The 12612-nt window shown below is 54.6% G+C and overlaps 1 protein-coding gene across 6 annotated transcripts in view, besides 1 other annotated feature; it reads left to right on the forward strand.

The window, feature by feature from the left end:
• Positions 1–5397, forward strand: part of SDK1 (sidekick cell adhesion molecule 1) — a 967749-nt gene extending 962352 nt beyond the window's left edge. For 3 of the 6 annotated variants that reach the window (XM_047420038.1, XM_047420037.1, NM_001079653.2), the window contains 2 exons: positions 1521–1645; positions 5075–5397. In XM_047420038.1, the coding sequence (XP_047275994.1) occupies positions 1521–1645; positions 5075–5147 (198 nt within the window). In that variant the 3' untranslated portion in view covers positions 5148–5397. Of the gene's footprint in view, positions 1–1520 lie in introns of all 6 variants that reach the window. The other 3 variants (NM_152744.4, XM_024446683.2, XM_024446684.2) reach the window with 1 other exon arrangement.
• Positions 77–1276: an enhancer, noted in NCBI's record as "CDK7 strongly-dependent group 2 enhancer chr7:4303312-4304511 (GRCh37/hg19 assembly coordinates)". NCBI's record gives its function as "activates an origin of replication core promoter dependent on BRD2, BRD4, P300/CBP, MED14 and CDK7 cofactors, with strong dependence on CDK7, by STARR-seq in HCT116 cells {active_cell/tissue: HCT116}" and the evidence as "EXISTENCE:reporter gene assay evidence [ECO:0000049][PMID:35650434]".

The following is a 12612-nucleotide window of genomic DNA, read 5'->3' on the forward strand; positions in this document are numbered from 1 at the left end:
CTGAGTGGGGAGGCCGCGTAGACCTCTCCTGAGTGGGGAGGCCGCGTAGACGTCTCCTGAGTGGGGAGGCCGCGTAGACCTCTCCTGAGTGAGGGAGGCCGCGTAGACCTCTCCTGAGTGAGGGAGGCCGCGTAGACCTCTCCTGAGTGGGGAGGCCGCGTAGACCTCTCCTGAGTGGGGAGGCCGCGTAGACGTCTCCTGAGTGGGGAGGCCGCGTAGACCTCTCCTGAGTGAGGGAGGCCGCGTAGACCTCTCCTGAGTGGGGAGGCCGCGTAGACCTCTCCTGAGTGGGGAGGCCGCGTAGACCTCTCCTGAGTGAGGGAGGCCGCGTAGACCTCTCCTGAGTGGGGAGGCCGCGTAGACCTCTCCTGAGTGGGGAGGCCGCGTAGACCTCTCCTGAGTGAGGGAGGCCGCGTAGACCTCTCCTGAGTGGGGAGGCCGCGTAGACCTCTCCTGAGTGGGGGAGGCCGCGTAGACCTCTCCTGAGTGGGGGAGGCCGCGTAGACCTCTCCTGAGTGGGGAGGCCGCGTAGACCTCTCCTGAGTGAGGGTGGCCGCGTAGAACTCTCCTGAGTGGGGGAGGCCGCGTAGACCTCTCCTGAGTGGGGGAGGCCGCGTAGACCTCTCCTGAGTGGGGAGGCCGCGTAGACCTCTCCTGAGTGGGGAGGCCGCGTAGACCTCTCCTGAGTGGGGAGGCCGTGTAGACCTCTCCTGAGTGAGGGAGGCCGCGTAGATCTCTCCTGAGTGAGGAGGCCGTGTAGATCTCTCCTGAGTGAGGGAGGCCGTGTGGACCTCTCCTGGGGTAAGGAAGGCCGCGTGGACCTCTCCTGGGGTAAGGAAGGCCGCGTGGACCTCTCCTGAGTGAGGGAGGCCGCGTGGACCTCTCCTGAGTGAGGGAGGCCGCGTGGACCTCTCCTGAGTGAGGGAGGCCGCGTGGACCTCTCCTGAGTGAGGGAGGCCGCGTGGACCTCTCCTGAGTGGGGAGGCCGCGTGGACCTCTCCTGAGTGAGGGAAGCCGTGTGGACCTCTCCTGGGGTAAGGAAGGCCGTGTAGACCTCTCCTGAGTGAGGGAGGCTGCGTAGATCTCTCCTGAGTGGGGAGGCGGTGTGGACCTCTCCTGGGGTAAGGAAGGCCGTGTAGACCTCTCCTGAGTGAGGGAGGCCGTGTAGACCTCTCCTGGGGTGAGGAGACCATGTAGATTGCTCCTGAGTGGGGAGGCTGCATAGACCTCTCCTGGGTGGAGGCCCAGCTCTTCTCGGAAACCTGGTACAGAGTGAGGGGCTGGATGCAGCTGAGAAAATGCAGTGTCGGTCACACCTGGATCAGGGAGGGGGACCTGGGGGCTGCCTGCTCTCCTGTGTGGAGGGTGGGAGGGCCTGGCATTGGGTTGGGGTGGGGAGAGGGCTGGAGACCGCGACACACGCCCCTGGGGAGGTGCCCCCACCGCCAGGCCTCCTGCCCAGCACGCTCCGGGCCCTGCGCCCTGCCCTGCACTCACACCTTCTCTCCCGCTCCCCGCAGGCCACGGACTCTGACTACGAGGACGCGCTGCCCAAGCACTCCTTCGTGAACCACTACATGAGCGACCCCACCTACTACAACTCATGGAAGCGCAGGGCCCAGGGCCGCGCACCTGCGCCGCACAGGTACGAGGCGGTGGCGGGCTCCGAGGCGGGCGCGCAGCTGCACCCGGTCATCACCACGCAGAGCGCGGGCGGCGTCTACACCCCCGCTGGCCCCGGCGCGCGAACTCCGCTCACCGGCTTCTCCTCCTTCGTGTGAGCAAAGCGCCGCGCCTCCCTCAGGGCGGAACGGAGGCAACTTTCCGGAGTCTATTTTTGTTAAGACAATCAACTCCAATAACTGAGCTGAAGTTTTTGTTTAAAAAGAAAAAAATCTGATAAGTGATGATTTTACCTACTTGTGGACACTAGATTTCAATTAGGAAGGTTTTTTTAAACGGCTTTTTGTAACTTCGCTGCAGGAAGCAGGTTTGTTTCTTTTTCTTTTCTTTTTAAGAGAAGGTGTATTTCACTGGTGCAATGGCTTGGCACCTCCGGGGCCTGGGAGGACCTCAGACCTCCCCAGCCCTGGGTTTCTCCGTCTTCAAGACCAACTAGGAAGGGTCAAGCGGGGAGAGGGAGTGGAGGGTCAGGTGAGATCTCAGAGCTGCCCCGGCCGGCCCCCGTCTCTTTCTACCTCCTCTTCCAGAGAACCAGCGGCTCACACCCTTCTCAACGCAGGACATCCTCGGCGGCTCCTGGGGTTTGAAGAGCAAACGTTTTTCCCTGGGCTCAGTGCGTTTTGTCCCAACTTCATCTGTTTCTGAAATGTTCTCACTTGGCAGTGTCTAGTCAAGGAGTCGGCTTTCAGGTTCCTGACGGCCAGGCAGGGATGCTAAGGTGTGGCTCAGCCGTCACTGTCTGTGTCACTGCAGTGGTGCGGTCCTCAGGCTTTTCTGCCTGTCTTTCCCCCTTCCTTCTCACCTGACAGCGAGGGAGAGGGAAGCCTCTTAGGGCTGGAAGCCACCACGCTGGCCCTCTCCTTCCCCGAACACAGCACACGGTCAACTCCGCGGGACACGAGGACACGGGACGGCGTCTCCAGAATTGCTTGTTACGTAGGAAGCGTGCATTGTTAACCAGAGTATTTTTAAAATCTTTTTATCTTTTTTTAAACTATGTCACATGAAATGAATGCGTCTTTGCTGTCTCCAGGTGCCTTTTTATTAATTGTTCAGCTTTGTACATGGGAAAGATGAAAAGCAACAGTGTCTGCAAATAAAGCAAAACAGCTCTGAGAACACACGCTCCCGACTCGCCTCGTGCACACCAGGCCGTCCCCTCCCTCTGTCCTGGCTTCTGCTGGCTGCTCGCAGCAGCCACCGCTTCTCCACCACTGGCGCTGCTGCTGCCCCCTCTCCCAGTCCGAGGCCAGCTTTTAGCCTTAACAGGTTTTTTGGAAATGTTTCTTTTTTTTATTTAAAATTGTCATTGTTTGGTTTAAATTTTTCAGCTAGATGAAAAGAGTATGAACTACTTTGGAAAACTTAACAGCTCAGAGATGGCCATGCCTCCAGCCCCTCACGTCATCTTTGCAACAGACGACTGGGCTGCCATGGTCCACCCCTCAGCCCGGGTCCCGGGTCTGGATGGAACGGGAGCACTGCTGGTGCCCACTGGCGTGTGTGCCCCGGGTCCCTGTAAGTGCCCCCTCACCAGCAGCAGCGTGACACACACAAGACTCAAGACCACCCTGTCAGTGCCCCCCAGTGCACGGCAAACGGGCAGGTGCCGTTCCCCCAGTGACCTGAGGGTAGGGGACAACTGAGCAGTATCTGACCAGTGCCACCCAGGAGCCAGTCTCCTGGCCACATGCAGAAAGTGTGGCCCCTGCTTACCTAGATGTTTTGTGCACCTCCATGGGCAGAGGGTGTGGATATTGCCTGGATTCTGTGCTGTCAGCGTTGCTGAGTATGGCCCCAGGAGACCAAGGAGAGTTTTGTATAGGCTGGAAAACCCCTTTTCAGTCTTTCCAAAATTAGAGGGTATGGCAAGTTTCCTTTTTTCTCTCCTCCCTTCCTTCCCCTCCTTCCTTTCCTTTACCCCTCCTTTCCTTCCTTCCTCCCTTCCTCTCTTCTTTCCTCCCTCCCTCCCTCCTTCCCTCCCTTCCTTCCTCTCTTTCCTCCTTCCTTCCCTCCCTTCTTTCCCTCCCTCCCTTCCTCTCTCCCCTATTCCTTCTTCCTTTTCTCCTCCTTTTTCTGAGTGGAGGGGGAAATATTCTAAACCAAAAATCCTAGATGCTCTGCCCAAAGCCACTTCTGCATGAGAATCGCAACCCACAGTTCCCCGGATGAGACTCACCACAGTGGACAGTGCCACCTCCTTCCCCTCGGCCCCGGAGAGGGCGAAGTGGGCGGGAAGCCAGGATGTGAGCACTGGAATTTCTTGGAAGAGAAGCGATAAATGGAGACCATGGCCAGCGCTGCTTTCTGTGCACTCTGATGACTGCTCTCTGCAGCCATGAGGATGTGGCTTTACATGCCAGGGAGAGTGTTGAGACGTCTTAGGTTGAGGATGAGCAGATTCGAGATATGTTTGTTGCTCTCGGGTTTTCGATACAACATCATGACACTTCTGTTTCAAGCTCATGTTTTCCGTCTCCCCTCCACTCTTAGTAAACCTTGATCTGTACGGAGCGGCCTGTCCGAGGCTACGCCGGCCTCCTGGCTGCTGCTGGACTGTGCTTAGGACAGCGCCCATGCCTCGGAGGGACTCTGTCCCATGAGAACCACCTGTGCAAAGGAACAGAGCTGGATGTTTCCAGGTAGATTTTGGCCTCCCAGAGCAATGCGGCATTTGAGAAGCAACAGTTCCTAACTCCTTATCTTCAGGGAAGGAAAAGAAAATCACAGCCTAGGAAGATGGAGGTTGGATTTTAATCTCGGTTTTAAAAAGAGGACAAACAAAATGTCTCTAAGCCAGGCTAGATGGAATGTGCTCCCGCTCTCTCCTGCCGTGCTGAAAGTCATGCCTTGCGGATGCCTCATGACAGCAGTGGCTGAGTCTCCCCACCCACCCCCAACGTGGCTCATTTCAGATTGCTTCGGCCCCACCCTGCAAGGATGTGGTCACGGAGTGGCCAGGAGGCTCCGTCTGAGCCACAGGGATGGGTGTGCAGAGCTCCCTCCTCCTGGGGTGCCAGGGCAGAGATTCCAGGCAGGTGAGCCCAGAGAGAGCTGCCAGGCCACACCCCCTCGGCCTCCTGCACGGCCACCTTCTGGGTGAATCGGTCCAGCCCAAGCCCCTCTCCCCAGCCTCGCCTTCAGCCTCTCTCCCAGCCTGCTTTTATAAGGCGCACTTCACTCAATGCTGTAGCCAAAAAACGAGGGGCCCCAGGGAGAGGGGACCCAGATGGCCACACACGGAACGCGCCTCCACAGCCCCGGGAGGTGGCTCACTCTGTACAGGTCTTCGGAGGCCGTGTTTGTATCTAACTGTGACTGGGCTGAAGCATGATGTTTGCCTAATGGTTCGTAGCATGGTTTTTATTTCTTACGCATTCTTGGCACACAGTGTAGCTATCCTCCTGACGAGCAACCCGTCTGCGTACCTAAGTGTGGCTCCCCGTGGGTCAGCGTCCTGGTAGCATGGATCCAGTCTGAAAGGTGAGGACAACGTGGAAACTCATGAGCTGAGCCTGCCCGCTGGGACACGTCTCCTTCCCGCGTCACCTTCTGGTTTAGGGAGCCGTCAGGTCCCTAAACGTTCCCTACAACTTTTTCTGAAATTGTGCAGAAAAACAGATCTCATTAAAAGAAAAAAAGAAACAACTTGTAGGAAGACAGAGAGGTGCTATGGGTACAATTTTTAATAAAAACATTATTTTGTTCCTTAAACGCTTGTGATTTTCTTCAAGCATTGATGCAATTATTCGGGAGACCTTAGGAACCTTCTGGATTTGAAAAGCTGTAAATATGAACCACTGGGACTTCACCCCAGTGCCGTGCTGGACCCCCGGCACCCCCAACACCCTTACCTTTATCCTGTTGACATGCAGGTGTGTACAGGCAGCATCCCCCAAAATTGGAGTTGAGGTCAGGGGTAAAGCCACTCCACACCCTGGCCGGGTGACCTGGGGCAGGCAGCATGGAGCCTCAGCCAGTGAGACCCCCCTGCATGGACCAGCAGCCATTCCCAGGGCCAGCCCAACTCCACCCACCACCTGGCTGGACCACCAGAGACTTCACACGTGTCCGGAGGAAAAGAACAGCTCATAGCCAAACTTAGCCTTGGGTGGGCGGAAGTGGAGCTGTGAGCAAGACGGCCTTTGCCTCCTAAGGGGTCTGTCCACACCACAGCTTGTCACGCCCCAGGCGTGCTCTGGGTCGAGGGAATGAGACGAGACCATTCCCTTCCCTTTCGGAAGTGGAATTTTGCTTGTTTCTTTCTTTTTAAGAGACGGGGTCTCACCCTGTTGCTTAGGATGGAGTGTAGTGGTGTGATCATAGCTCACTGCAACTTTAACCTCCTGGGCTCAAGTGATCCTCCCACCTCGGCCTCCCTAAGTGCTGGGACTGCAGGGTGCCTGAAGTGGAATTTTCAAAGGCATCTGCCAGTCACTGCAGGTACCCTGGGCTTCTATGAAACACGGGGCCACTGAGGCAGCCACATGCCGGGGCCAGCAGGAGGAAGCATGGCTGCCCCCTTATCACCCATCTTGCAGGGCTTTGGGCCTCAGTGGCCCCAGGATCGTTAAAAATCTCAGTGTCCAGGCCACACCCAGGCCAATTAAATCGGAGTCTCTGGGGATCGGGTGCAGACATTTGTTTTGAAAGCTCCCCAGGTGATTCCAACGCAGCAAGGAAGCTACTCTGGTGGGAGGAGGGGCCGGGGTGGGGCCGGTGTTCTGACCTTGAATGAAGGGACAGGGTTCTGACTTTGCCAACGTTACCTTTTGCTCCGGAAGCAGTCGCTGCCACTGATAAGCCCCAGGTAAGAACCCTTTCATTTTCTCTGTTTTCCCACCATGTTCAGCCCACATCCCACCACCCTCTATAATACGACATGTAAGTCTGCAGATTTCCCACCATCTCCAATATTTCAGAAGTTGCAGCTGCGGTGGAAAAGGCCCTTGACATTTACTGAACGCACGCCATGTGCCTGACGGTGCTCTGGGTTCTCGTTAATCCACAGAACTCCCACCAGGACCCTGTGAGGTAGGTACAGTCAGGGGGGTCCCATTGTGTAGATGAGGAAATGCGCCCAGAGAGGTGGAGCCATTTGCCCAGGGGTAGCCAGCTGACCAAGGCAGATCAGCTCCAAACCTGGGCAGCTGGGGGCTCCGGAGCCTGGTGTCTAGGCCTGACCACTGCACTGCACTGCCTCCCACGAGGCTGTCTGCAGTCACCGTCAGATCCGTGGGCTGTTATCCTGTGAGGAGGCATGTACCTCTCCCTATAGCTCGGAGCCTGGCGTCATTACTGCAACGTCACGGGCTGAATGCACAGGCGGCTTAGAAGATTTTATTTTCCCCACACCATCCTCTCCTGTTAGAAAGAGGAAAGGCATGAATTAAGTTGGGATAGGTGATGCAAAGCCCTGCCGTTACTACTATTGTTGAAAAGTTCACGGGAGAAAGTTGTAAACGCAACTAGTTAGCCCGGAGAAAAGAACTGCCCTGTCTTGTTGGATGACGATTACATAAGAATAACTCCACAAGAAGGAAAAGCAGCCCAGGTGAGATGCCAGCCACATCGGAAGGGAGAGGAGTTGAGTGCAGGAGCCCTGATATGGCCTCTGGGACTCCGGCATCAGCATTTGGTTCCCCATGGGTGAGAAAACAGGGAGGGAGGAGGACGGGGAGGGAGCCTCCAGCTTGATCACTCCTGGGAGGAGCCTGTGGATTTCTGGGCTTGGGGGTCCCACAGAGCCCAGTGCCCATCTTCCTCCAGCCTCTGTGCCATCTAAAGTGGGCACTCCATAGGTGCAGAACCAGGAGGGACCCGCATCTTCCTGAGTTCAGGTCTCCTCTGAAAGGAACTGAATCTGGGTCCTCCTCTCCCTCACAGAGAGCCCCATCCACAGGAGGTGAAGCCCCAGGCCCCGCTAGGACTCTTGAACCAATGGGCACCACCCTTACCAAAGCATCTCTGAGCTGAGCTGGGTTCTCAAGGGCCAAACTCAAGGGCGGAGCAGGTTTGCCTGTGCTGTGGCTGCCACAGCCCATTTCTCCTGCCCGACAGCAGCCTCACTGCCTCTGGGAAATCGCCTCTTCCCCCAACAGATCCTGCATAGGACAACCATTCTTTGGGGCCATCCTTCCAGGCCAAGAGGCAACGTGTGTCCCGAGCCAGGTGGAATGGGGCAGGGCAGGCGCTGCTCCCTCCTGGGAATGTGAACAATTTGAATTCCCCAGCAGGGAATGAACAATCTGGAGGCTCTTCTGAGATTCTTCTCTCAGAGCCCCTGGCTTCCAGAGCCCCCTTTTCTTCCTGCGAGTTTCCAAGCTGGGCTCCTGTCCACGTGTCCAGCTCTTGACATCCCCTAAGTTCCTTTTGCTGAACTTAGCCTGAGTCGGTTAATTCACCTTCTTGTAACCGAAGAACCTGCTCACGAACCTGGGGGAGCCCCCACAGGCTCGAGCTCTGGCAGCAAAGCTCCTGGGAAGGCCCTCCAGCTCTCAGAGTGGCAGCCGCGTCCCTGCTGTGTGGGCTCAGGCGGGAAATGCTACCTACATCACGGTGCACACGCTCTGCAGCCACAACACACACATGTCCCCAGTGCGAGTGAAAAGATTCACCCACCTGGGCTGAGGCCTCACTTACAGGGTGCCGGGGACACAGGCTGGAGCAACAGCCTGGCATGCTTTCCACAAAACAAGGTACTTCCAGCGGAAAAAAAAAAAAAAGTGCTCTGTGAGAGTCATGAACTAATTTACCCTTAGATGAAGTGACCTTCTCTGCAGGTCACCATCCCCACGCCCACCAGCAAGGTGTAGGGTTGACTCAGATTGAAGAGTGCAGAGCCGTTGCACCCCTGCAGTGCGGGCCCCTGGCTCCACCCCGACCTCAGGCTCTGACCCTAAGGAGAGGCAGGGGTGACCTCTGGTGTCCTTCACAGATGCAGGATCCTTACTTCCCCGCACTTAGACCCTGTGGAAAGGAGAAGCCAGATTTCACAAGATGTGGGGGCCTAACCACGGGAAGCACCAGCATGCACTGAGCGGGCCGCAGGTGCCCTGGCGGCCTCAGCACCCCCATGGCCTCCACCATGGGCTCGAGGGTGACTGCAGGGTAGGACTCTCCTGTGTACCACGGTTCATATCACGGCCAGGCAAGACCCACAGTGCTAAGAAAATGGCAAACCAGGCCGGGCGCGGTGGCTCATGCTTGTAATCCCAGCACTTTGGGAGACCGAGGCGGGCGGGTCACCTGAGGTCAGGAGTTCGAGACCAGCCTGACTAACATGGAAAAACCCCATCTCTACTAAAAATACAAAAAATTAGCTGGGCGTGGTGGCACGTGCCTGTAATCCCAGCCACTCAGGAGGCTAAGGCAGGAGAATCGCTTGAACCCAGGAGGTGCAGGTTGCAGTGAGCAGAGATCACACCACTGCGCTCCAGCCTGGACAACAACAGCGAAACTCCATCTCAAAAAAAAAAAAAAAAAGAAAATGGCAAACCAAGCCATGGTTCTGAGGTTGGTGACAAGGTCTTTCCATATTTCCCAAGAAAATCAAAATTCCGCGTGGTTATGCCAGTGTCTGTGAAATTCACAGTTATATTTTAGAAGTTTGGTCTTTGTCAGTAAGTGGAACCATGTGCAGATACTGTATTCGGGAACCACAGAAGCCTTTGCAAACCTTCCGGTTAAGCAGCCTATTTTTCTGAAATGCTTGGCTCACCGGATGCTTATTTTAAAAGGATTTGAACGTGTCCATGGATTTGCACAAGTACCTCAGGATTTGCCAAAAATTCTTTCCCTTTAATGGCTTATGTCAATTAACAGCCAGCATGGGTGAAAATTCCAAGCTGTGAATTCAGGACTCTGTGGTCTTAAAATGTCCTGCTTCTCCTCAGATAAGACAATACTCTGCAGTCATTAAGCAAACCACTCTATTATGGGGCTGAATTTCAAATAAATTTCAAAGAAAATTTCAAATATTTTAATTACAATAAAAAGTCGTATTTCTGAGGCATCCCGAAAATGCGTCCGTTTCTGTGGGATTCTCCAGCCGCCACCAATATGTTTGGCCTGCAGAGCTGGTGGGTCCAGAGAGCCCCATGGGGTCCCTGAAGGGAGGTCGAGAGGAAAATCCCATTCCCCTGGTGGAGTCCCAGGTTTACAGGGATGGGTCCCTTGCCTCTCTCTGTCTTAGGGAACATTTTGCAAGGATGTTGAGTGCCAGAGAATTGGAGAATCTGGGAGTCGCTTGCCGCAGAGGCGAGGTATGGCAGAAACTAGGTGGAGATCCAACAAGCCCCTGGGTAGGGGCATCTCTCATGGAGATGGGCCGCTCAGCCTCACAGTGAGCCCCCTGCAGAGCCCTCAGCACACGTGTGGCCTGGCCTGGGCTCTCTCACTCCACCCTCCCCCACCCATTGCTCATACTTTCTCCACCACTGATGTCTTTCTGTCCTCTGCACTTCAGCCCATGCTCAGTCTCTTCCCCAGGAACCACCCCTCCCCACCCCCAGCGGTTCCAGCCAGCCTGGTCCCCCCATCTCTGGCAACCCACTGTCTCAGGAAGGCCACACCCTGGGACCTTGTTCATTATTTTTACATCCTCCGCATGACTAGGACATGAGTCCCATGAGGTTAGAGTTTGTCCTTTCTTCTTTGTTTGCACACGCGTGCAATACCAACTCTAGCATGCAATCCCCACATGCTGAGTGCTTCGGGGAGACAGGAGCACATCAGATGCTACCTGCCTTGCAGCCTGCCTGTAACCAAACGCTGGGCCCATGGTAGGGGCACAGCAATCTCCAAGCTATACCATTAAGTGCAAAATAAGCATGGTTCCATTTGTGTGTGTGTATGTATATGTGTATGTGGGTTGTATATGTGTATACACCATGCATGTGGGGTGGACACACGTGCACACCCCCCAAACCCCTGTCAAGAAAGGGCATAATACCGTGTTGCAGAGAAAGCCTCTAGTGCCTTCAGGATTTGCCTCAGGTGCAGAGAGTTGCCTCCCACAAGGACTCATTCTTCCAGGAACAGCTACATCTCTGGCCGATGGAAGTGGGCGTATCAAGGAAGGTTTGGCCATTTCAGCTGGACAAGGAATAACTCTGGTGGGACACGTTTACCCTGAAGCTCCCAGGGAGTTGGGCCAAGGCTCTGCCAGGCACACAGCATGGCTAAACTCCACCCAATCCTGCCCTTCCTCCCTCCACAAGTGTGGACCCTGATGCAAACCCTGCCTTCCCCATTCACTCTGAGGGCCACTTTTGGAGACCTGCTCTGTAACACATGGAAAGAGCTGCCTGGGAAACCAGGCCAGACAACCTCAGGGAACTCCTCTCCCCTGGACTTGCCTGCCCTGCCAGTGAAGCCAGCACTTCTGGATTTTGGGGATCTGCTGAAATGTCTACCACATGTGCAAAGTCATATGAGAAAGGAAATGTCTTCATAGTACACTACATGGCTCAGTTGTGGGTGGTATTTAAGTAGCTATTATATATTGAACTTTGTGTATTGACTTGTTAACAAACTGTGATATAATTATGTTGAGAAGTGAGGGAGGGTAATGTTTGTGATGATGTTTGTGAGCAGGGTGAGGGCTAAGACTTATGATTCCTGAGTGAGGAGTCATAAAATGTAAAAAAAAAAAAAAAATGATCAAAGTCACAGCATAAGCACAGCACAGTACTTAGAAAGATGAGGGCCAGGCATGGTGGCTCACACCTGTAAGCCCAGCACTTTGGGAGGCCAAAGTGGGAGGATCACGAGGTCAGGAGTTTGAGACCAGCCTGGCCGATATGGCAAAACCCCATCTCTACTAAAAATACAAAACTTAGCCAGGCATGGTGGCACGTGCCTGTAATCCCAGCCACTCCGGAGGCTGAGGCAGGAGAATTGCTTAAACCCAGGGGGCGGAGGTTGCAGTGAGCCGAGATTGTGCCACTGCACTCCAGGCTGGGTGACAGAGCAAGACTGCATCTTGGAAAAAACAAAAGAAGAAGAAAAAGAAAGATGAGGGTAGATAGGATAAATACAAGATTCAACAGTTAAAGGAATTGCAAATGACAGCCTGGGATGGAGAGTCAGGGCTGCAAGGCTGTGGCAGAGTAAGCAGACCTGGAGCAGAGACCACACAAGGGACCGTCAGCTTTTATGATATGTTTTATTATACTATTTGACTTTTACATATGTTACTTTCATTTAAAAAAGAATTAAAAGGGAAAAAATTAGACATTGTGTTGTTTTTCATTATGTAAGACTTTAAACAACCGAAATGTCCATCGGAAGGGGATTTGGAAAATGAATTATGCCAATCCACACATGGGAACCCATGCAGCTGTTTAAAAGAATGAGATGGGGCCGGGCTCGGTGGCTTACGCCTGTAATCCCAGCACTTTGGGAGGCTGAGGCGTGTGGATCACAAAGTCAGGAGATCGAGACCATGGTGAAACCCCATATCTACTAAAAATACAAACAAAATTAGCCGGGCGCAGTGGCGGGCGTCTGTAGTCCCAGCTGCTTGGGAGGCTGAGGCTGGAGAATGGCATGAACCTGGGAGGCTGAGGCCGGAGAATGGCATGAACCCTGGAGGCAGAGCTTGCAGTGAGCCGAGATCGCGCCACTGCACTCCAGCCTGGGCAACAGAGTGAGACTCCATCTCAAAAAAAAAAAAAGAATGAGATGGGATCACATGCATGAAGATAGCCATCTCCATATGTGCGTGTAAACACACACACGCTAGAAGGTGTAGAAACTATCTCTGGAAAGATGAACAAGAAATTGGTAACAGTGGTTGCCTCTAGAAAGAACAAAAGGAGGCCAGGCGCGGTGGCTCACGCCTGTAATCCCAGCACTTTGGGAGGCCAAGGCAGGCGGATCACGAGGTCAGGAGTTCGAGACCAGCCTGGCCAATATGGTGAAACC

This window comes from Homo sapiens, chromosome 7 (genome assembly GCF_000001405.40).
Source record: "Homo sapiens chromosome 7, GRCh38.p14 Primary Assembly".
Classification (NCBI taxonomy): domain Eukaryota; kingdom Metazoa; phylum Chordata; class Mammalia; order Primates; family Hominidae; genus Homo; species Homo sapiens.